This window comes from Homo sapiens, chromosome 22 (genome assembly GCF_000001405.40).
Source record: "Homo sapiens chromosome 22, GRCh38.p14 Primary Assembly".
NCBI classification, from domain to species: Eukaryota; Metazoa; Chordata; class Mammalia; order Primates; family Hominidae; genus Homo; species Homo sapiens.
This window is the reverse complement of record NC_000022.11, coordinates 31,880,844-31,905,358: the sequence shown is the minus strand read 5'-3', so window position 1 is coordinate 31,905,358 and position 24,515 is coordinate 31,880,844. Positions and strand designations below refer to the sequence as shown.

Genomic DNA, 24,515 nt, shown 5'->3' with positions numbered 1-24,515 from the left:
TACAGGCATGTGCCACCATGCCTGGCTAATTTTTGTATTAGCCAGGATTGTTCTGGAATTAGCCAGGAGAATCACTTGAATCCGGGAGGCGGAGGCTGCAGTGAGCTAAGATCATGCCATTGCACTCCAGCCTGGGTGACAGGGCGAGACTCCATCTCAAAAAGAAAAAAAAAGAGGAACGCCAAGCTGGGGCTCTCTGCTTCCCTGTGCTCTGGAAATGGGCAGGAGGAGCCATTTTTCATCTATGGCTTGTTCTATTCCTGGTTTTTCTATTTCCATAAGGCACATTTATTACAGTTCTACCTGCTAAGAGCTGTAAAGGACGTGGTAACAGATGTGGCTCCTGCCCTCTAAGTCTGAGGGGTTTATATAATGGAGACAGTGATGTAGGCAGAACTAAAGAAGGGAAAATGCCTGTCTTCTTTCCTGGACTGAGTTCCTTGGGGAGGTGCTGTGTTGTATCCTCTACATAATCTGCATTCCATAATTTTTTACCAAAGAATACATGAAGTCAAATATGCAAACTAAATGGGTAGGCTACTATGCACTGTAAGCTCCCTGTCTACAGGCTGATTATATGATGAGGATTGGCTCTGGATTTTGCCTTTGCAAAATCCTCTCTACTCTTGCTCTGTCATCCAGGCTGGACTGCAGTGGTACAATCTTGGCTCACCGCAACCTCCACCTCCCGGGTTCAAGCAATTCTTGTGCTTCCAGCCTCCCAAGTAGCTAGGATTACAGGCACGCGCCACCATGACCAGTTAATTTTTGTATTTTTAGTAGAGACGGGGTTTCACCATTTTGGCCAGGCTGGTCTTGAACTGCTGACCTCAGGTGATCCGCCTGCTTCGGCCTCCCAAACTGCTGGGATTACAGGCGTGAGCCACCACACCCAGCCTGCTTTCTCTCTACTTTCTAATTAAGGCTACTGATTTCCTCAGCATGGATCAGCCTGATTTTTTTTTACCAGAGTAATTTTTTTTTACCTCATTTCTTCCTTAGGTCACCAGGAAAGAACAAAAAGGCAATTTAACCACATGGTTCCTGGCCACCTGACTGTCCACTCAGGGAGAATGCAAGACAGAAACGCAGTAAGGGCAGGGGAGGGGATATAATCATCTCCACCTGCCCCAAGGAAGATGAAGGAGGAGCTGTAGGTCACAGCCTAGGGGCTGAGGAAGATGAAGGAGGAGCGGTAGGTCACAGCCTAGGGGCTGAGGAAGATGAAGGAGGAGCTGTAGGTCACAGCCTAGGGGCTGAGGAAGATGAAGGAGGAGCTGTAGGTCACAGCCTAGGGGCTGAGGAAGATGGACACTTTTTTAGCTCTTTCTGAGATGGACCTTATGGGTGGGCTGATGTGTCATTTAGAGCCACAGTTGCACTTAAAGCTCCACCCTATGCAAAAGCTACATATGAAACTACTCTAGGCAGGCACCTTGCTAGGCATTATAGAAGGAAACACAAATAGGAAAAAGCATACCCCTGCCCTCCAAGGGCCCCCAAGTCACTGGAATACATTCAGAGTGTTTTGAAAGAAAGGGAAAGAGGAATTCAGAGAGGAAACATTTGGGAATCCCTGGAGGAAGATTCTGACAGGTGTGGAACAGGGGAGAGGTTTAAGTGTGAAAGGTGGGAGAGGTTAGGTGTGGAAGGTGGGGGGGCTTAGGTGTGGAAGGTGGAGGGGTTTAGTTGTGGAAGGTGGGGGGCTTTAGGTGTGGAAGGTGGGGGGTTTAGGTGTGGAAGGTGAGGGAGTTTACGTGTATAAGGGGGGGTTTAGGTGTGGAAGGTGGGGGGAGGGTAGGTGTGGAAGATGGGGGGAGGGTAGGTGTGGAAGGTGGAAGGGTTTAGGTGAGGAAGGTGGGGGAGTTTAGGTGTGGAAGGTGAGGGGGTTTAGGTGTGGAAGGTGGGGGGTTTAGGTGTGGAAAGTTGGGGGGGTTAGGTGTGGAAGGTAGGGGGATTTAGGTGTGGAAGGTGGGGGGGTTTAGGTGTGGAAGGTGGGGGGAATAGGTGTGGAAGGCGGGGGTTTACGTGTGGAAGGTGGAGGGGGTTTACGTGTGGAAGGTGGGGGGGTTTAGGTGTGGAACGTAGGGGGGTTTAGGTGTGGAAGGTGGAGGGGGGTTAGGTGTGGAAGGTGGAGGGGGGTTAGGTGTGGAAGGTGGAGGGGGGTTAGGTGTGGAACGTAGAGGTACAGAAGGTGGGGGTTTAGGTGTGGAAGGTTGGGGGTTTAGGTAAGGAGCACACTGCAGCACACTGGTACAATGATGCAGAGGACTGGTCAGAAAACAGGTGAGGGTATCTGTGGTAGAAAAAGCTGGCTGAGGAGGAAAGTACAATAGTTCCTGGGAAGATAGACCAGGATCTGGACTGAGGGGGATCAGGAGGAGGATGCAGTGAAGGAAAAAAGCAGATTTAACAAATAAAGGCCACGTTCTGAGTGACATCCTGCCAGCAGGGCAAGCAGGGTAAGAGCTACTTAGAAACTCGTGAGTTAGCAGGGTCCCCCCTGGTGACTGCTGTCTACTGAGGGCTCACTAGGTGCATCACCGGGCTCTCCAGAACATCAGAGAACCCTCCCAGCTTCCCCGTGAGGGGTAAGAAAATGGAGGCTCACCAGTTCCAGAATTGCTCATGGTTCCTCAGCCAGATGCTGGTGGAGGTGGGAGTGGATAAGGCCTGTCTACTTCGTACATCAAGGCCCTTTCCCATTGACTGCTGCACTCTCTACCTTCTGCCCTGAATCTGCACCACCCACTGTTAGTGGAAGGAGGAAATCAGCCACCCTTGCCTTCATTCCACAGTCTTTGCTAAGCACCTGAGCTAGGTCTGTGAAGGGGTAGACCTTAGACGAAGGTCTAAGGTAAGCTGGGGCCATCGTGGGTGTGAGAGGCTAAATAGTCCTGTGGTTGTATGAGTATATATAAGTATATATATATATATATATATATATATAATAAGGAGATGACAGGATACTGGAGAAGGTGTAATGAGAGGATTACCAAAGCAAGAACAAGGGGCTTTGTTTTTACCATGACTAACATGAAGTGGCCATCAGATACCAGGCTGGTGATGTTTGGAGACAACACAGTCGGCTGGACTAGTCTAGTGGGAGACAGTGAAGTCTAGGACAGGCTTTCCCTGGCACACATATTAGGTGCCAAGAAATATCTACTGACTCATCTATTGCTTTTTAACCATTCATTGTCTTTTCAACCTGTGTTGGGCTCTTGACACATTTTTTAATTTTTCATTTTATATTATTTCCTGAATAGCTTGGCCTAGGGTCTTGTTGGAGGCTAAGGAGAGAGTTCTATGTTCTCCACTCAACTGGAAGAAGAAAATAATGAGGTCTGAAAAACAATAGTTACAGGAAACAGGGAGGCAGCGCTTATCTCAAAAACCAATGTAAAGAGTCCTGTTGGAGATAAGCAGTGAATTTGCCATTGGTGGAATACATCCCTTTCTCTAGGAGCTAAAAAAATGAGTTTCACTTTGGTAACTGCTATTCAAGATAAACACTGATTTCCTTCCCACTCTTCACACTTGCTAAGGGACAAACCTGTGTGCAATGGCTTCCTGGAAGAGGTGCATTCGATCCCAGTACGTTTCGGGTTCAAAGCCTGAAAGGAAAATAAGAATAAATATTGGGTTGTGATCACAAGGTTTGTAATTCTCTCTGGGCCAGTCTTCTGTACCCTTTACTACTCTTGGCAATCAGTCCCCTTGAGCCTAACCTCTGCTTCTCCATACTACGCCCTTTGAGAAAGACTGGCCTCCATCCCAAGGGTCAAAGAAAGGACAGCTGTGTGTTCACACCATCCCTTCCCCCAAGCAAGCTATAGCTGGGTCTAGGAAGGTGAAGTCCTCAGCAGTCAGTGTGAGCTACCAGAACTCAATATAAGGCTCATTCGAATGACTTCTTATACCCAAAGCTGAAAGGAGCATGATATTAAAGTACAAACAGAAGATAAACTGTAAATGCATGTTAGTTGCCATGGTCATAGCTCACTGAAGCCTTGAATTCCCGAGCTCAAGTGATCCTCCTACCTTAATCTCCCAAGTAGCTAGGACCACAGACATGCACCACTATGGCCAACTAATTTTTTTTTTTTTTTTTTTGAGGGAGAGTCTTGCTTGGTCACCCAGGCTGGAATGCAGTGGTGCGATCTTGGCTCACTGCAACCTCGGCCTGCCGGGTTCAAGTGATTCTCATGCCTCAGCCTCCCGAGTAGCTGGGATTAGAGGCACATGCCACCACACCCGGCTAACTTTTGTATTTTAAGTAGAGACGGGGTTTTACCATGTTGGCCAGTCTGGTCTTGAACTCCTGACCTCAAGTGATCCGCCTGCGTCGGCCTCCCAAAGTGCTGGGATTACAGGCGTGAGCCACTGTGCCCGGCCCCAACTAATTTCTACATTTTTAAAAATTTTTAATTTTTAAATCTTTTTGTAGAGATGGCATCTCACTATGTTGTCCAAGCTGGTCTCAAACTCCTGGCCTCAAGTGATCCTCCCACCTCTGCCTCTCAAAGTGCTGGGATTACAGGCATGAGCCACTGTGCCTGGACCATGTAAGCTGCTTCTAAGGAACAACTACTACCCCCACTTTTTTTTTTCTTTTTGAGAGGAAGTTTTGCTCTTGTTGCCCAGGCTGGAGTGCAATGGCACGATCTCGGCTCACCACAACCTCTGCCTCCCAGGCTCAAGTGATTCTCCTGCCTCAGCCTCCCGAGTAGCTGGGGTTACAGGCATGTGCCACAGCGCCCAGCTAATTTTTGTGTTTTTAGTAAAGATGGAGTTTCAACATGTTGGCCAGGCTGGTCTTGAACTGCTGACCTCAGGTGATCTGCCTGCCTCGGCCTCCCAAAGTGCTGGGATTATAGGCGTGAGGCACTACACTCGGCCCACCCCCACTTTTTTGTATTACCAATCTTCCCACAAGAAAGGGCAAATATTATAAGCTCCATTCTAGAGGTAGGAAAATTGAAGCAAATAAATATAAAAATAAAAATTTGGGCCAGGTGCGGCGGCTCACACCTGTAATCCCAGCACTTTGGGAGGCTGAGGTGGGTGGATCACCTGAGGTCAGGAGTTTGAGACCAGCCTGGCCAACATGGTGAAACCCCGTCTCTACTAAAAGTACAAAAATTAGCTGGGCGTGGTTCCACATGCCTGTAATCCCAGGTAATCGGGAGGCTGTGGCAGGAGACTCACTTGAACCCAGGAGGCGGAGGTTGCAGTGAGCTGAGATTGCGCCACTGCACTCCAGCCTGGGCGACAGAGCAAGACTCCATCTCAAAAAAACTAAAATAAAGTAAAATAAAATAAAAGTTTGAAGAGTAATCAGCTGGGGAGGAGAGCAGAAAAGATAAGTCCGCTCCTCCATAACCCACTTTGTTACTCCAGCCTCATGCCTTCTGCAAGGCTGTTGCTGAGAACCAAGAGTGGAGGGGGAAGGGTGGAGGGCTGTGGAGGGCTGGGGAAGGCTGTCGCACAGCACCAGAGGACAGAGTCCGGGCTGCTCTCAGGGAGGAGGTGCTGAGGCCTGGGGTGGTAATTGCACAGCCATCCCAAAGACAAGAGTGCCTGCGGTGGTTTTGCTAATCTTTCCACATTTGGAATTTTCTACCTGGGATGGATTTGAGGATTTAGGGCAACTAAAGAGCAAAAAGCCAGGCACAGTGGCTCATGCCTGTAATCCCAGAACTTTGGGAAGCCGAGGCGGGCAGATCACCTGAGGTCAGGAATTCAAGACCTTCCTGGCCAACGTGGTGAAATCCCATCTCTACAAAAATACAAAAAAAATTACCTGGGCATGAATGGCGTGTGCCTGTAATCCCAGCTACTCAGGAGGCTGAGGCAGGAGAATCACTTGAACCCAGGAGGCGGAGGTTGCAGTGAGAGGACATCACGCCACTGCACTCCAGCCTGGGTGACAGAGCGAGACTACGTCACAAAAAGAAAAAAAAAAGGGCAAAAAGCAAAAAAGACTTTGGCTTTAAACAGAGAAAATCCACACACACAGCACACTCTTGTCAGATTTTTAAGATTTTGAATTTGCTGCTATAGGAAATGGCAAGAACAAAAAGAGAAGAGGCACAGAAGCAAGAAAATTGATTTTTAGATTCAAATCCTTATTGCTTTAAACTGGGACCCTTTCTGCAGCTGTAACCATGGCAACCAACAGAGGCTGCTGGTCTTGAAGACTGAGTTACAACTGGCAGGGAAAAACAACTTGCACAAAAATGTCCTCCAACGCCAGCCCTGTGGGCAATCCTGTGCTGTTATAGCAAAGGTGAAAAACCCCCAAAGAGTCTTTGGACAGTTTCGGGGGAAGATCTCTCTGTTCCTTCAACATAATAAAAACAATAGTACCAGGAGCTGCTTGGCTTAAAACTGCCCCATATGAACACAATCATCTGGCATTTCAGGACTGCATAAATGGTCCTCTCTCAGCCACATCACTGTGAGGTTAAACAAGAACATGTGTGTTTCAAGGGGGCTTTGTAAGCTCTGTGTGTCCCACAGTCTATAGCCCCCAGCAGGTAGGGCCTCTGTGGGGCTTGCTTGGGACCCCGATTATCACTTAGAACATTGTGTCTATAAAAAAAATCTTCCAAACTGCAAACAAAAAATACACGGATGGGCTTTTGGAAGAAAAGCTGTTTGCACCATGAGGGCAGCCTGTCACATGGAAATTGCAGGAATACTTTGCTTGGCCTAATCCACCTGGGGAGATCTCCTTATCTTTTGGGCTGGTTCTCTGCCGCTGATCACGACACAGACTTACAAGGGGACAAGAAGAAAGCATCTCTCTTACGTCAAATGTTGTTTCCTTCACAGTTCTAATCTTTATACCTGAGAAACCTCAGGGCTCCTGACGTATCAGCATCAACCCTAGCTTTGCGTTTTAAAAAAGATCATCTGTGAACTCATCAAAAGCTTTGTAGGAGCTATTTATATGTGCATCCACAACGAGCACTTGGTAATAAAAAGCTATATGCTGTGTCAAGTACAGCTCAGCTCGTCTTTGATCTGTCCTAAACCTGCCCTCTGGGTTCTGGGCTCTGGGGTAGAGCAGCAGGTCCAGGCTGACCCTGGGTACTCTCTTTCTGATTGAAAACCTTTCCCAGAGGGAAAGGCTCTGATTTGGTTCCTGCTATCATCCTCTGATCCTGCTTTGTCTTCCCTGAGATGCATGACTCGAGTCACACGCACCATTCCAGAGGCTGACATGCCACAGCTTTGCACAAAAGGATGCTGTTTCCTGTTTTGCTTTTCATGCCCTCCCTTTCCTGGCCTTTTTGCACGAAATAGCATATGCAAGTCTCCCGTGAGGTTTAAATCCCTGCAGCCCAAACCAGTTAGGCTGGAGCATATGAAAGGAGAGCGTGGGAGAACACCAGTGCTGCCTGTGATTTATAGAGTTTAGCGCCCTCTCCCACCCACCACTTTGCTCCAGGCAGCTCTAGACACTCTCATTTTAGGAATAAGGAATTCGAGACTCAGAGACATGAAATGATTTGTCCAGAGTTATCCAGCCACTAAGTCAAGAATCAGGATCCTTTAGAACCTTGATCCTTTTGGCCCCTTGTTGAAAGGCTGTCCCTTTTCCCTAGTCCGTGTTGACTGGATACCCAGAGTGGTGTCCTTGTTAGGGACGGGGTCTTACTGGTTGAGACAACCTCCAGAAGGGAATATTTCTTACTATCAAACAGGTGCTCGCTGCCCTCCTTGAGCAAGCAGCTGATGTTGAGTGGGATGAAGAGCTGGGCACGAAGGGGGTCGCCATACAGGTAACTGGGCAGTGCAAAAGGCCCCTCCAAAACTGGGACTAACAAGAAGCCACAGGAGGTGGCTTTCCGATGCCAACCTTGGACCTGGCGGAAAGTACAGAAACAAACAATATCATCTCCAAGTTCTTTCAAACAAGAGAAAATACTTCCCAAGGAGAAAACCCGCCAGAAAGGCAGCATGCATATTGATTTGCATGCTCATTTATTCATGTTTGCTGGCTGCAAATTGGTCCTGGACAGGCAAAAATGCAGTTTAACATCCTGACAAATACTACAAAAACTGTGAGCTAAGCACACAGCTCCTCTTTACAGCCCAAACTTCTGCACCTTCGGTGTTTCTTTTAGAAAGAACGGTCTGCAGAGAGTTGAAATCCTTCCCATTCTAGGGGATGTTGGAGAAAGGTCACAGGATAGAGGTTAAGTCCTTCTAATTTTGTCCTTTTTTTTTTTTGAGACAGTCTTTCTCTGTTGCCCAGGCTGGAGTACAGGGGCCAGATCTCAGCTCCCTGCAACCTCCGCCTCCCAGGTTCAAGCAATTCTCCCACCTGAGACTCCCAAGTAGCTGGGACTACAGGCGTGCACTACCACATCCAACTAATTTTTGTATTTTTAGTAGAGACGGGGTTTTGCCACTTGGCCAGTATGGTCTCGAACTCCTGACTCAGGTGATCCGCTGGCCTCAGCCTCCCAAATGCTAGGATTATAGGCATGATCCCAGCCTAATTTTGTACTTTACCAGGAATTTAATAAGTTCAAAGTATCAAATAGGAAAACAACTCACTCAGGCTGGCTGAGAGAAATGTGATGGAGGAGGGGAAATGACCACAGTGGCTTCTGATAATGGTAAGCCCTGACCTGACAGAGTGAGAGCCACTCTCTGGCAGAGTCCCAAATCCTATCTGTCCAAAGATGAGAACAAAAGTTACTGGGGCAAAAAGATAAACCTACCATCAATAACATTTTCTTAGGGAACAGTGGCAATTTTCTAGATCTTGAGATACTCTTTTTAACCATAAAAATGATGTATGTTAAAAAAAAAAAAGGTTGATCGATGTGGTTCTGGCATACAGATGATTTTTGTGTCAAGTATTATTTCCAAAAAAATAGAGTTGGGACACAGCTTGACTTAAACAAATGATTATGTAAAAAATTAAAGGGTACCACCCTTATCTTTTCTCTCACGGAATGTTCATAACAAAAATAACAACAAAAAGCCGAGATCTCTGTTTGACCGAAATAATTCCTAAGCCTTGGTCAAAAACCTTTTTATTTTATGTAGTATTTGTCTCAATAAAATCTGATTTTTAACAAATGTGGACATTGCCTTAAATAATAATTAACTTACATACACTGAAGTTTTAAAAGCTTAATAAAATAATGATAAAGAGATTAGCAGCTTTCAGTGGGTTTTACATGAACAGATGTGAAAGGTGTACTTTACAGAGACAGTTGCTAAATTCCTCTAAGGAAATGAACACTGTCCTTCCTGCCCAACTATAACTATATGTGTGTGTCTATCAATGCTGTGGTCATGCTGTTTTGGGATATGCTTATCTAGTAGGGCCAGCAAGGAGAGTGCTTATGCCTACTGGGTCAGAGAGTTAGTTTTACCTGAAAGAAGTGGTCATGCTGGTATCAGTGAGCTGGGGAAGGGCTGGTGTCCTCTGTGAGCTGAGCAGAATGAGCAGCAGGCTGTCTTTTTTTATTTGGACCTTAAGGATGTTCCCCAGATGAGAGTCTTTCCAAGGGAGGGGTCCTTGAAGATGCTAATGCCATGTGGAGGCAGACAGAGACCTGGAAAAATTGCTTTCCCAGGATACCATGTTTTGTGGGACAAAACTTAGCCTATGAGCTCTGGACAAAAAAAAAAACCTGCTGGCTCATGCTGTACTCATTTCTCTTTGCTTATCTCCTAGCTTTTAGTAAACTCTTTTTGAACTTCCCAGCTGTTCTCTGTTGTATGAAGAGATGGCTGGGCTGGTGTTGAGAGAAGCGAGATTCAGTAGAAGCCACAGAAGAATATTCTTTTTGGCTATATTGGAGAGTGTATAAAAAGGAGTGGCACACTATAAAGATGGTTAAGGAGCTGTCCTGGAAGATACTGACAACTTGGCTAAGGAGTGAGCACTGCGATGGGGGATGGTCAGGTATGGCTTCTTAGTGTAGGAGCAGTGAATGGCCTGATTACAGATGCAGGCCAGGATGAACTAGAAGGAGAAAGGACAGGCAGGAAGACCAGTTAAAACAGGGCTTCTCAACCTTGGCACTTGTGACATCTTGGGCTGGTTATTCTTTGTTGTGGGGGCTGCCCTGTGCATTATAGGATGATGAGCAGCTTTGCTGGTCTCTACCCACTAGACACCAGTAGCACCCACCCTGCCCTCACCCCTTTCTTTCTTTCCTTTTTTTTTTTTTTTTTTTTGAGACGGATTCTCGCTCTGTTGCCCAGGCTGGAGTGCAATGGCGCGATCTCAGCTCACTGCAACCTCCACCTCCCAGGTTCAAGCGATTCTCCTGCCTCAGCCTCCCGAGTAGCTGGGATTATAGGCAGTGCGCCACCACGCCTGGCTAATTTTTTGTATTTTTAGTAGAGACGGGGTTTCTCCATGTTGGTCAGGCTGGTCTCGAACCCCCAACCTTAGGTGATCCTCCTGCCTCGGCCCGGGATTACAGGCGTGAGCCACTGCTCCCGGCCTTCTTTTTTTTTTTCCTTTTTTTTTTAAGATGAAGTCTCACTCTGTCACTCAGGCTGGAGTGCAGTAGCATGATCTTGGCTCACTACAACCTCCATCTCCCAGGTTCAAGTGATTCCCCTGCCTCAGCTTCCCGAGTAGCTGGGACTACAGGCGTGCACCACCATGCCTGGGTAATTTTTGTATTTTCAGTAGAGACAGGGTTTCACCATGTTGGCCAGGCTGGTTTTGAACTCCTGACCTTGAGTGATCTGCCTGCCTCGGCCTCCCAAGGCGTGAACCTCCGTGCCCAGCCACCCTTTTCTGTCTTCAGATATTGCCAAATGATCCCGGGTGGCAAAATCCGCCCAGGTAAAGAACCACTGAGTTCAAAGCAGTGATGTTTATTAACAGGGGACTGGTTAACTATGGTTAAACAAATAATAGAAAACTCTCCAGCCCTTAAAAACAACGAGGCAAAACAAAAACAAACAAAAATCCCAATAACAATAATAATAAAAAAAATCCCAAGGCAGATTTATTTGTACTGACATGGAACACATAGGTGATAGAAAAAATGCAATGTAAGTAGTATGTATCCAATGCTACCATCTCTGCTGAAAAAAAAAAAAAGTAACGTGATTTTGTCCATGCTTAGAATCTCTCTGGAAGTTTACTCAACAAAGCAGAAGTAGATCCCAGGGAATGAGAGTGGGAAACAGACTTACTTTTCACTCTAAACCAGTGATTCTCAAGAGGGAGCAATACTCCCCCTTCCTGGGGACATGTGACAATATCTGGGGACATTTTGCTTACCACACCTGGGGCTGTGCTACTAGCATTTAGTGGGTAGAGGCTAGGGTTGTTGCTCAATTTCCCATAAGGTGCAGGACTCCCCCACAGAGAATTATCTGGCCTCAGATGTCAATACTGCTAAGGCTAAGAAACCCTGATTCTACCTTTTTTGATTGCTTAAAATTTTTACTATGTTTAAATTTTTTAAAAAGGTTACTCCAATAGTCCCGATGAATGGTAATAAGAGCCTGAACTAAAAAATTAAAGTGACATGAATCTCTATCAAGCATCTCCATGCCCACTGTGAGGTGAGCCAAAGGCCTGACAACATGCATGAAGGTTCTCACCATCTCGAAGAGTACTGCTGCGGTCACCGCCATCCAGTGCAGCTTGATCTCAAAGGCTGCATTCAGAGAAAAGTTGCCATGGTAATAACAGCTGCACCACTCCAGCCGGTCTGTGCGGTTGTTCACGTCAACATCCAGGGTCACAGTCCTCTGCTCTGGGACAGTGGCAGCTATGTCAGCACACAGGAGGGGCCCCAAGAGAGTGAGAAAAGGAGTGGGATGAAGAAGAACAAATAACTAAGTATCCAGATATGAAACTATATACAAGTGCCTAAAAGAAAACTGCAGATTCCAGAAGTTTCCTGGAAATCATCTAGATATTGGAAACCTTTCTGTAAAAGGCCCCATTATAAATATTTTACATTTTGTGAGACATATGGTTTCTGTTGCAACTACTCAACTCTGCTATTGTAGTGCAAAAGCAGCCACAAACGTTACATAATGAAGGTGCCTGGCTGTATTCCAATAAAACTTTATAAAAGCAGACTGAGTTTTAGGGCGGTTAAACTATTCTGTAGGATATCATGTTAGATACGTGTCACTATACATTTGTCCAAACCTACAGAATATACAACACCAGCCGGGCACAGTGGCTCACGTGTGTAATCCCAGCACTTTGGGAGGCCGACGCAAGCAGATCACGAGGTCAAGAGATCGAGACCATCCTGGCCAACATGGTGAAACCCCATCTCTACTAAAAATACAAAAATTAGCTGGGTGTGGTGGTGCACACCTGTAGTCTCAACTACTCAGGAGGCTGAGGCAGGAGAATCGCTCGAACCTGGGAGGCAGAGGTTGCAGTGAGCCGAGATCGCGCCATTGCACTCCAGTCTGGCAATACAGCGAGACTCCGTCTCAAAAAAAAAAAAAAAAAAAAATACACCACCAAAGAGTGAACCCTAAAATGTAAACCATGGATATTCTGGGTGACAATGATGTCAATGTAGGTTTATGGATTGTACCTTGTAAAAAATGGACTACTCCGTCTGGGGATGTTGATAGTGGGGGCAGCAGGTTGTGGGGGTGGAGGTCAAAGGATGCATAGTAATTTTCTTTCTTTCTTTTTCAGAGATGGAGTCTCACTATGTCACCCGGGCTGGAGTGCAGTAGCGTGATCTTGGCTCACTGCAACCTCTGCCTCCCAGGCTCAAGTGATTCTCTTGCCTCATTCTCCCAAGTAGCTGGGATTACAGGCATGCGCCACCACACCCGGCTAATTTTTGTATTTTTAGTAGAGACGGGGTTTTGCCATGTTGGCCAGGCTGGTCTCAAACTCCTGACCGCCGGTGCTCCACCCGCCTCGGCCTCTCAAAGTGCTGGGATTACAGGCTTGAGCCACCATGCCCGGCCAGATGTACAGGAACTTTCTATTAGATTCTGCTATGAACCGAAAACTGCTCTAAAAGAAATAGTCAATTATAAATGAACAAATGGTGAGCCAGATTTGGCTGCTTAAGCCATAGTTTACTTCTCCCTAAGTAATCCAACCCCTTCATTTACAGATGAGGAAATGGCAGCCAGGGAGGGAAGATGCCTTGGCCAAGATGATGGAATCAGAACCTCAGCCAGGCTAAACCCCAGATCTTTTTATTTCAGTGACCTATGAAGAAACACAATGGGCAAACAGCACAGACCACCAGTGACAAGTCTTGCTTTTCAGGTTTCAACCCAGGAAGACAGTAGTTCTACAATCTTTTCTCAAGAAATGAAACCTTATAATGAAGCTTAACACCCTGTCCTATCATTGACATGTTGCTCAAGGATGCTGGGTGAGTACCAAGCTTACTCATCCTATCTGGGACTTCTGCTCAGAAATCCTACCAACTCAAGATAGGATGTTTCAGAGACGTGTCAATCAAGTTCCTGACCAGGCTAAGGCCCTAAAATACGCTCAGAAGCAAAGAAAAGGTCAGGCTTCTGTTCTGCCTGGCTGGGCACTGCCAGACCTAGGGTTTCTGTTTGTTTTTTGCCTCCCTGAGGCACAGTCTTAAGAGATCCTGAGAACATGTACCCCCAGACCTAGGGTTTCTATAAACTATAATCCACCCCTCATTCTCCCTTACCCCCATGAATTCAACAGTTTTCTTCAGCTGAAGTGGTCAGTTTAGTTCTGGGTTCTGCAGATAGAAGCCCTGAGTGGGTTTTTCTCACTGACAAAGATAAACAGCTCTTGCGTCAGCAATTTTAATGAGCTTCTGTTGTAAGGCAGGAGAGCTCCAGCTAGGTCACTAATGGCATTCAGGCAAACTGGCATTCAGCTGCCAGATGTACCACTCACCATTCTCTCAAAAGACTAAGTCCAGGAAGTGTGGTTAGCAAGATGAATATGAGAGCAGAGATTAACCAAAAGTTGACAGAAACCGGAGTAAGAGAACGCCTGAAAGAGCTGCTGAGCTAAATTAATTGAATGTGGCTGAAAGGATGAGTTGATAAAGATAATGTAAAGATAATGATTTTAAGTGATATGTTTTTTGCTTTTGCATTAAGAGGTAATTAAAGAGAAAGGACTAGAACACGTTATTGTCGATGACTTGGTGGCTGAAATCACTCCAAAAGGCAGAGCCCTAGTACTTGACAGTTTAAAGAAGGAGCTCCTACAAAAAAATAAAAACATTCCTTGCTCAGCCTGTCAGTCTTTAAGATTGACCTAGATTGTGTTGTTCTGTGGTATTATTTTTGAAAGTAATATCTGCCATAAATTAGAAAACCATTCCCAAAATAAAATTCATTTTTTAGCCGGGCATGGTGGCTCACGCCTGTAATCCCAGCACTTTGGGAGGCCAAGGCAGGCGGATCACCTGAGGTCAGGAGTTCAAGACCAACATGGAGAAACCCCGTCTCTAATAAAAATACAAAAAATTAGCCGGGCGTGGTGATGCATGCCTGTAATCCCAGCTACTCGGGAGGCTGAGGCAGGAGAATTGCTTGAACCTGGGAGGCAAAGGTTGCAGTGAGCCGAGATCGCACCATTGCACTCTAGCCTGGGCAACAAGAGTGAAACTCCATCTCAAAATAAAATAAAAATTTTAAAAATCTTTTTTTTGAGACAGAATCTCACTTTGTTGCCCAGGCTGGAGTGCAGTGGCGTGATCTCGGCTCACTGCAACCTGGGCCTCCCAGGTTCAGGAGATTCTTGTGTCTCAGCCTCCCAGGTAGCTGGGCCTACAGGTGCACATCACCACGCCCAGCTAATTTTTGTATTTTAATAGAGTTGGGGTTTCCCTATGTTGGCCAGGCTTATCTCGAACTCCTAGCCTTAATTGACCTGCCCACCTCGGCCCCCGAAGGTGCTGGGATAATAATGAGCCACCATGCCTGGCCAAAATCCCTTTTTGTATGATGATATATGGTTTTCAGTAGTGATGTCTATGTTGTATTGATTTTTTCCCCCAAATGTGTTATTTTAATAAATATCTCATGAATGGAAAAACAAACAAAAACCTAGAACATGCAAATGGGAAAACTTATTGATTTGAAGTTGGAAGATCTAAGCTCTGCCATTTAGTAACCATATGTCTCAGAGAGCATTGTTTCACCTCTCCTGATTTAGTTCCTGAACTACAAACTGAGATGTGCCAGCCCAGATGGTTCATAGAGACAGGATGAGAATCAGGTGAAGCATGGATGAGAAAGGAGTGTGGACCTCCTCTCTTGCCTTACCCAGCCACCTAACTTGTAACTCTCCTCTTTTCCTTCTGTTCCTGCTGGTCTCTTCTCCCAATTTAGGCCATTAGTTTGCCAATGTTCAATCTGAGGCCTGTCTGTGCCGCCCATGGACACTGGTTGGCTGTCTGTGACATTTAAGGCTAAAGAACTTGGTCACTCCAATGCTAAAAGGCTCATCAAAACTACATTCTGTCTCTGCTTCATGTTATGGATTCCTGATACTGCCAGAATAACCCTTTACTTAGCCAAAATCAAAACAGTGGCTCACACCTGTAATCCCAACACTTTGGGAGGCCGAGGCGGGTGGATCACGAGGTCAGGAGATCGAGACCATCCTGGCTAACAAGGTGAAACCCGTCTCTACTAAAAATACAAAAATTAGCCGGGCATGGTGGCGGGTGCCTGTAGTCCCAGCTACTTGGGAGGCTGAGGCAGGAGAATGGCGTGAACCTGGGAGGCGGAGCTTGCAGTGAGCGCCTCTGCACTCCAGCATAGGCAACAGAGCGAGACTCTGTCTGGAAAAAAAAAAAAAAAAAAAAAAAAAGAAGTTTTGCCCTCTGGTCTTGGACACTGTGTGTTTCTTCCCAAGTGAAAAGTCTGTGTCACAAAGACGAGGATATTCAATAAATACCAGCAGTGGCCTCATGCATCTCTTCTCTCCCATCTGGCATGTTAAGTTCAGAACATGCTGGCCTGGGCCAGGAAGTACGCTGTTCAACCAAGTGGTTACAGGCTGAAGATACTACTGGCCCTGTACTTTGGGGATAGATTTGGCAGTACATATGTTTCTAGCGGATTATGATGTTGATAAAGATATGAGACCAGCTGAGTTCAGCTTTCAGTAAGTTCATAGAATCATTACGTGAGTTCCATGAGAACCAACTTATTCACACAAGACCAATAAATACATGCAAGCCCAGAGGAGGAATAGGCTGAGCATCCTTCACCCAGGTCATAGCTAGGGGGTTATCAGTAACCTGGGGAAGGGGACAGTGTCAGCAGAGGAGAAAAATGCAACCCCAGGTAGGGGAGTGATACTCTACGTAACAATCAGAGGTGCCCAGGTACAGAACAAGCAGTCTTGGGAGTGAGTGCCATGTTGAGGGGGTTTTTCAAAGAGAAGCTTGCTCCCCACTTATCAGGAGTGCTGCAGAAAATATTCAAGTGTCAGGGTTTGGACAGAGGTGCTCTAAATTCCCTTCTGATCCCAAAATCCAGTGGGCCGTCAAGAAAAGGCTGGGGCCGAGCGCAGTGGCTCACGCCTGTAATCTTAGCACTTTGGGAGGCCGAGGTGGGAGGATTGCTTGAGCCCAGGAGTTCAAGACCAGCCTGGGCAACAAAGACCCTGTCTCCACAAAATATCAAAAAATTAACCAGGCATGCTGGCACATGCCCGTGTTCCCAGCCACTTGGGAGGCTGAGGCAGGAAGGTCACTTGAAACCAGAAGGTTGACGCTGCAGCAAGCTAGGATCATGCCACAGCACTCCAGCCTGGGCAACAGAGCAAGACTCTGTGTCAAAAACACAAACAAAGAGCCGGGTGTGGTGGTTCACTACTGTAATCCCAGCACTTTGGGAGGCCAAGGCAGGTGGATCACCTGAGGTCATGAGTTTGAGACCAGCCTGACCAACATGGTGAAACCACATCTCTATTAAAAATAGAAAAACATTAGCCAGGTGTGGTGGTGCACGCCTGTAATCCCAGCTACTCGGGAGGCTGAGGCAGGGGACTTGCTTGAAACCGGGAGGCGGAGGTTGCAGTGAGCTGAGATCACGCCACTGCACTCCAGCCTGGGCGACAAAGCAAGACTCCGTCTCCAAAAAAAAAAAAAAAAAAAAAAAAAACCACAGACAAAACAAGGCTGAGAAGGAAAGGCATGTGAGTGGGCCTAAGAGCTGCAGGGCTGCTGCTTCTAGAGTCTCAGATGCTCCTGCTGCTTCCCAGGTGAGCAGCCCAGGGTGACTGCAATGAGAAAGTGGGAGCCCCCATGAGCCAAGCCAGAGAAGGTCATGTGTCAATGTCAGGCATTTCAAAACAGACTTCCAATGCTAACTTCCAACTGAGTATCCTAAGTGTTTAAAAAGGAACATGTTGAAACAAAAAACAAAAAAAGGGACAAGTCACAAATGATACACAGGCCTTCTTCCCCCTATAAATCATGTTATTTTTTTTCTGAAGAAAAACCCAAACAATGAATACAGCTCAATTTAAAGAAAACAGATCTTCCCCACTTGAGTAAATGACACAGTAAAAGACTACATTCTAACCTGAAAAAATGCTGGGAAGAAACCTCTCATATCCTAACACAAAGGGCTGAGAGCTGTTATTGGATAGAATTAGCTGTATATGGCCATATCAGGTTTAAAAGGAAAAGAAACCCATTTCTTTTGGGAAGACGGATGGGCAAGAGGCTGATGGAATGAAATTCCTTGTAACAACTATGGAAACCACAGGAAAACTAACAAAAGGATGTTTTCCCAGGAAACATGGGCACACACAAAACTCTGCCTAGTTTCAGACTCACTGACCCCCTAAGGCCCACACAGAGACCCCAGGAGAACACTTGTTTAATAAACTACCTGCTATGGACATAAACCCTCTCTTCTTCCCAAATCTCCCTATTTTTTGGACATATGACTTTTCTCTTTTTTTTTTTTTTTTTTTTGAGACAGAGTTTCGCTTTTGTTGCCCAGACTGGAGTGCAATGGCGCAATCTCGGCACACTGTAACCTCTGCCTCCTGGGTTCAAGCAATTCTCCTGCTTCAGCTCCCGAGCAGCTGGAATTACAGGTGCCCACCACCACACCCAGCTAATTTTTTGTATTTTTAGTAGAGACAGGGATTCATCGTGTTGGCCAGGCTGGTCTCGAAATCCTGACCTTAGGTGATCCACCCACCTCGGCCTCTCAAAGTGCTGGGATTACAGGCGTGAGCCAACATGCCCGGCCTATGACTTACTTTTCTATATACTGCTTCTCTCTCTCTCTCTTTTTTTTTTTTTCGAGATGGAATCTCGCCCTGTCGTCCAGGCTGGAGCGTAATGGCACGATCTCAGCTCACCGCAACCTCCACCTCCCGGGTTCAAGCAATTCTCCTGCTTCAGCCTCCCGAGTAGCTGGGATTACAGGCACACGCCACCACGCCATGCTAATTTTTTGTATCTTTAGTAGAGATCTTCAGTAGAGATAGGGTTTCACCATGTTGGCCAGGCTGGTCTCAAACTCCTGACCTTGTGATCCGCCCACCTTGGCCTCCCAAAGTGCTGGGATTACAGGCGTGAACCACCATGCCTGGCCTCTCTCTCTCTCTTTTTTTTTTTTTTTTTTTTTGAGATGGAGACGTATTTTTTCAGGCGGGAGTGCAGTGGTGCAATCTTGGCTCACTGCAACCTCCGTTTCCCAGGTTCAAGCAATTCTCACACCTCAGCCTCACGAGTAGCTGGGATTACAGGTGCATGCCACCACACCTCGCTAATTTTTGTATATTTAGTAGAGACAGGGTTTCACCATGTTGGCCAGGCTAGTCTCAAACTCCTGACCTCAAGTGATCTGCCTGCTTCGGCCTTCCAAAGTGTTGGGATTACAGCCGTGAGCCACCATGCCTGGCCTATACACTGCTTTTCTTTAAGCACTAAGAATTATCAAAGCTAAACTGAGATGATCTGAATTTCATCTTGAGCTGAAGACCAGAAGTCAAGAGAGGGTTTTACCAGCCTGCATTAGAAGAAGGCTTTGGAAACGAGGATATTCCTATAGAAACTGTCAAGAGAGGGAATCAGCTCATGCCTTAGTCCCAGCACTTTTGAAGGCCAACTGGGAGGATTGCTTGAGCCGAGGAGTTCATGACCAGCCTGGGCAACACAGAGAGAGATTGTCTCTACAAAACCAACAAAAAAACTAGCCGGGCATGATGGTGTGCACCTGCAGTCCCAGCTACTTGGGAGGCTCAGGTGGAAAGACTGCTTGAGCCCAGGAGTTTGAGGTTGTAGTGAGCTAGGAGTAAGTAGTGAGCCTGGGAAACAGAGTAAGACCTTGTCTTTTTTTTTTTTTTTTGAGAGGGAGTCTCGCTCTGTCACCCAGGGTGGAGTGCAATGGAGTGATCTTGGCTCAATGCAACCTCCGCCTCTCGATTCAAGAGATTCTCCTGCCTCAGCCTCCTGAGTAGCTGGGGTTACATGTGCCCGCCACCACACCCAGCTAATTTTTGCATTTTTAGTAGAGACGGGGTTTCACCATGTTGGTCAGGCTGGTCTCAAATTCCTGACCTCGTGATCCACCCGCCTTGGCCTCCCAAAGTGTTGGGATTACAGGCGTGAGCCACTGTGCCTGGCCAACCCTGTCTCTTTTTTTTTTTTTTTTTTGAGATGGAGTCTCGCTCTGTTGCCCAGGCTGGAGTGCAGCGGCATGATCTCGGCTCACTGCAAGCTCTGCCTCCCAGGTTCACGCCATTCTCCTGCTTCAACCTCCCGAGTAGCTGGGACTACAGGTGCCCGCCACCATGCCTGGCTAATTTTTTGTATTTTTAGTAGAGATGGGGTTTCACTGTGTTAGCCAGGATGGCCTCAATCTCCTGACCTTGTGATCCACCCGCCTCGGCCTCCCAAAGTGCTGGGATTACAGGCGTGAGCCACCGCGCCCAGCCCACACATGATTTTTGGACAAGAGACTTGAAGCAAGTGAGGGAGGGAGACCCGAGGGTATCTTTGGGGAACAGTGCCCCAGGCGGAAGGAAAGCACTGGAAGCAGAGATGTGCACGGCGTGTTCACGGACACCAGACACAGATGGAAGCCAGCGTGGTGCAGCAGAGTACATAGGAGGCGGACAGGGGACAAGGCAGAGAATGAGGGGACCACATCCTGGGGTCCTGTAGGCTGCTGAAAACTCTAGCTTTGGTTTCGAGTGAGCTGGGAGCTACAAGAGGATCCTGCCCAGAAGGGGAACATGACCTGACTTCCATTTGAAGAGGTCTCTCTGGATCCTGTGTGCAAAGCAGTTTATAAGGAGCAGGGGAGGAAGCCAGGAGGCCAGTGCAGAGGTGACAGCAGCAATGCAGACAGAAGATGAAGGTGGCTCGAACCACGATCATAGAGGAGACAGAGTAAGGAATAGTTAATCCTGAATCAATATTGAAGGTAACTAAAAGGTAAACTGAATTTGCTGATGGGCTGGATGTAGAGCAGGAAAGAAAGACATGAGAAGGCAACTGAATTTTTCTACCTAAGTGACTAGAATGAGAAGGCAAGACGAAGGTGTTGCGGGGAAACAGCAGGGCTAGCTGGTTCTGAACACTGTACATCCAGTCCTCTAAGTGACCATGTCAAGTAGGTAGCTGGAGGGATGAGTCTCAAATTGGAGACATGGTCTAGGATGGAGATAGAAATTTGGCAGTGACCAGATCTTGGGGTAATAAAGGCCACTGGACTGATGAGACACTTTAGGGTATGGAGATGAGGGCAGGCTGAGACCCGAATGCTATAATATTAAAAGATTAGGTTGCTGAAGAGAAACCAGCAAAGGAAACTGATTTTAAAATGAAGAAGGAGAGCCAAGCAAGGTAAGGGTTTAAAGGAGGAGTCAGAGATCATTTGACAAATGCTGTTGCAGGGCAAGGAGGACCAGGACTGAGGACTGGCCGCCAGGCTAAACAACATGGGCTCCCTGCATTGGGAAGGCTGTTCCAGCGGAGGGAATAGACAGAAACCCGATTTGAGTTTTGCTTTGCCAGCAGGAGAGAGTGTGTGCCTGTCACAGATCGACAGGGATGCTTTAGCAGAGAGGGAGAATTCAGGGAGGGGGATGACTGCCAAAGTGCTACACTGAGTACTGCGAGGGCTGGGGTCTTGTGTGCAGGTGGAGATGCTGCATCAGGGGGAGGCAGAAGAGTGGGGACAGACACAGCTACTGGGCGAGGGCAGATGGCAGGTGGGAGTTTTCTTCTGACCGCTTCAGTTTTCACAGTGACACAAGATGCTGATGATGAGGGTGGGGAGCGGGGCTCAAAGCTGTGTAATGAGGTTTGGCAGCTCAAAGCTATGATTACATAAAGTGAGATGTGAGGTGGGAGAGGGAGAATGATAGCAAGATCAATTGGTTACAGGTCCTGGTGGGGGTCAAAGAACTGTTGAAGCCAGGACTGGAGGGAGTGCATTGGGAAGACCAGCAGGGATGGCATAGAGGGGAAGAAAGGACACACCCAGAGAGTTGTGGTTCTGTAGCAAGGGCCTGGGACCTGAGTGTCCCTCATCACAGGGCAGAAGCCACTCCTGGAACTGGGCTATTGTGCAAATCATCCAAAATCCTGACAGGCTTTGACTTTTGTCTCCTTGGGCCGAAATGCAGTGTGCTTGGAGTTCAGGCTTCAGGGCCAGGCAGTCCTGAGAATAAACTCCAGCTCTAGCACTTAGTGGCTGCAGAGCCTTGGGCAAATTACTTCGCCTCTCTGAGCCTCACAGTTTCCTAAACTCTAAAGCATAAATTGTAGTACCCATCAGGAGACTGACGTAAAGATTAATGAAGATTTTCTGCTCTGTACAGGACCTGACACATCAATTTTCTACAAATCATGGCATTAATGTTATTACCATCGCACCACAGCAGGCAAGACTGAAGCAACCACCACTGGCACCAGTGAAAGAAAGCACAAGAGGAGCCCAGGGGCCAGAGCAGAGCAGAGCAGAGTGGAGGACAGTGCTTCCCTCTAACATCTCAGCTCCAGCTCTGACCATTCATCCTACCCCAAAGTTCTGAAAGCACGCCCTTATCACGCATCAACTTGACACCTGCTTAGGGAAGTTACTGATGGGCTTCAAAGCCTCTCAGGTTTTGCTCTAATCTTGGCTCCTGATTGGAATCCTTCAGTTCCCCCTAGGACAGCGGTTCTCAGCTGGGGGTAATTTTACCAACCCCAGGGGACATTTGGCAATGTCAGGAGACATTTTATCACACTGGGTGGGGCTGGTAGTGCTACTGGGTAGAGGGCAGGATGCTGCTCAACATCCTCCAGTGCACAGAACACTTCCCCACAAGAAAGAATGATCTGGCCCAAAATGTCAGTAGTGCTGAAGTTGAGAAACCCTGCTCTTGGGTTTTGTATGATCTACTGGAGAAGATTCACATTAGAATAATTCCTTTCGTTGAACACTTTCAAGAAAAGGAAGAACAGGCCGGGCGTAATGGCTCCCACCTGTAATCCTAGCACTTTGGGAGGCTGAGGCAGGAAGATTCCTTGCACCCAGGAGTTTGAGAACAGCCTGGGCAACATAGGGAGACCCTGTCTCTATTTTTAAAAAGAAGAGAAGAGAAGAGGAGAAAGAAGAGAAGGAACAAGAAAATAAAAAAAAAGAGAAAGAATGAACAAATGATAGTTACTTCCCACCTTAAAAGATCAAAATTTAACAGATTTATTTTGCAAAACATTTTGCTAAAATGTGTTATACACTTGCTGCCATTAGCTGCCTCCAATTTTCTGCTTCTAATCTGGGGTCTTACCAAGAGATCTGTAAACACACTTCCAAGAAATCAGTGGAGTAAATATGCTCTATGTGCTGGTTCGAGCGCCTCTTACTACAAGGAGGTGTCACTTGGATTCGTGGCATTTATTTGAATATTTGAAATTTATTTGAAAGGAAGAAATCTTTTTGCTTTCTTCAGCTCTCACATAAATTGTCGCCATGCATGATCCAATATTTACTTATTGTAATGCATTGTGTCTTTTTCTCAGAAAGTAACCCCGAGGGGAGTGGGAAGTTGACTTTTCAGCTCTCTCTTTGGTGCGTATCTGAAAGCACCTAGCTAGCTTTCAGGCTTAGTTCCTTGTTCCGCAGAGATGAAAATTCTTAATTTTTATCTATGAGGAAAAAGTAGACTTTAAAACTTGGCTACTAAAAATAAACTTGATTTCATGAGAAAAATGGTGTAAAGTTGCTTCTTGAGAAGCTTCTCGTATGCAGCCTAGTGCTATAAGTGAATGATTAACACTGTACTTATCAAGTTCTTGTGTTTGTTATATTTGTAACAGGTTTTCCCCACTCCACCTTTGTTGCTGGACTATTGGCTTCTGCTTCCCACTGACATCAGGGTAGGTACCTGCCCTTTTCTTTGCTATTCTTTTTTTTTTTTTTTTCAGATGGAGTCTCACTCCATCACTTTTGAGATGGAGTCGCCCAGGCTGGAGTGCAGTGGTGCCATCTAGGCTCACCGCAACCTCTGCCTCTCAGATTCAAGCGATTCTCCTGCCTCAGCCTCCTGAGTAGCTGGGATTGCAGGTACCCGCCACCACACCCAGGTAATTTTTGTATTTTTAGTAGAGATGGGGTTTCATCATGTTGGCCAGGCTGGTCTCAAACTCCTGACCTCAAGTGATCCTCCTGCCTCAGCCTCCCAAAGTGCTGGGATTACATGCATGAGCCACATGCCTGGCCTTATTTGCTATTTCTAATAGGTCCTCCCATGACATAAAATCACAAGGTTGCTGCTTGCTATTCAAAGGCCTTAGGTCTCAAGCCCTGGTAGTGCTCTAGGTGGTTTAGGTTGCTGGAAGTGAGCACCCCAGGGTAACGGGTATACGGCTTCTTTAATCCCAAAAAAACGTCAAGGAAGTAGACAGTTAGAAATGCAATGAAGGGAGAAGAGCAAGTCATGACTGCCTAAGGGAAAGGAGGAGGAGCTGCTCAAGGTTCTACCCTATCCTCCCCACCCCTTCACTTCTCACACACAGCAACAGGCAATGCTGGAGTGAGCCACACCCAGATCCAAGTGAATCTGAGGATCTGAAAACTTTTTTTTTTTTTTTTTGAGAGATGGAGTCTCGCTCTAGAGTACAATGGGGCGATCTCAGCTCACTGCAACCTCCACCTCCCAGGTTCAAGCAATTCTCCTGCCTCGGCCTCCGGAGTAGCTGGGATTACAGGCGTCTGCCACCACACCTGACTGATTTTGGTAGAGACAGAATTTCATCATGTTGCCCAGGCTGGTATCAAACTCTTGACCTCAGGTGATCCACCCACCTCAGCCTCCCAAAGTGCTGGGCTACAGGCATGAGCCACAGCGTTTGGCCCTTTTTTTTTTTTTTGAGACGGAGTCTTATTCTGTCACCCAGGCTGGAGTACAGTGGCGCGATCTCGGCTCACTGCAGGCTCCGCCGCCCAGGTTCATGCCATTCTCCTGCCTCAGCCTCCCGAGTACCTGGTGCACACTGTCACGCCTGGCTAATTTTTTGTATTTTTAGTAGAGATGGGGTTTC

The 24,515-nt window shown here is 46.9% G+C and overlaps 1 protein-coding gene and 1 pseudogene across 33 annotated transcripts in view, besides 1 other annotated feature; one reads left to right on the top strand and one right to left on the bottom strand.

The window, feature by feature from the left end:
- The window catches only part of DEPDC5 (DEP domain containing 5, GATOR1 subcomplex subunit), a 154,066-nt gene that overhangs the window by 2,675 nt on the left and 126,876 nt on the right, over window positions 1-24,515 (bottom strand). For 26 of the 33 annotated variants that reach the window (NR_157126.2, NR_157125.2, NR_146296.2 and 23 more), the window contains 3 exons: window positions 11,608-11,777; window positions 7,706-7,877; window positions 3,557-3,617 (listed from right to left, as the gene is read on the bottom strand). Coding sequence is in view for 25 of the 33 variants with exons in the window: in NM_001364318.2 (NP_001351247.1) it covers window positions 3,557-3,617; window positions 7,706-7,877; window positions 11,608-11,777 (403 nt within the window). In the remaining 8 variants the exon portion in view is untranslated. Of the gene's footprint in view, window positions 1-3,556; window positions 3,618-7,705; window positions 7,878-9,404; window positions 10,001-11,607; window positions 11,778-24,515 lie in introns of those variants that run through there. The other 7 variants (XM_011530562.3, XM_047441628.1, XM_047441629.1 and 4 more) reach the window with 3 other exon arrangements.
- Window positions 13,559-14,093: an enhancer, noted in NCBI's record as "OCT4-NANOG hESC enhancer chr22:32287252-32287786 (GRCh37/hg19 assembly coordinates)". NCBI's record gives its function as "activates a minimal SCP1, AML or CMV promoter by ChIP-STARR-seq in primed H9 embryonic stem cells {active_cell/tissue: H9 hESC(primed)}" and the evidence as "EXISTENCE:reporter gene assay evidence [ECO:0000049][PMID:30033119]".
- On the top strand, window positions 13,869-14,247 carry LOC124905101 (transcription and mRNA export factor ENY2-like; annotated as a pseudogene).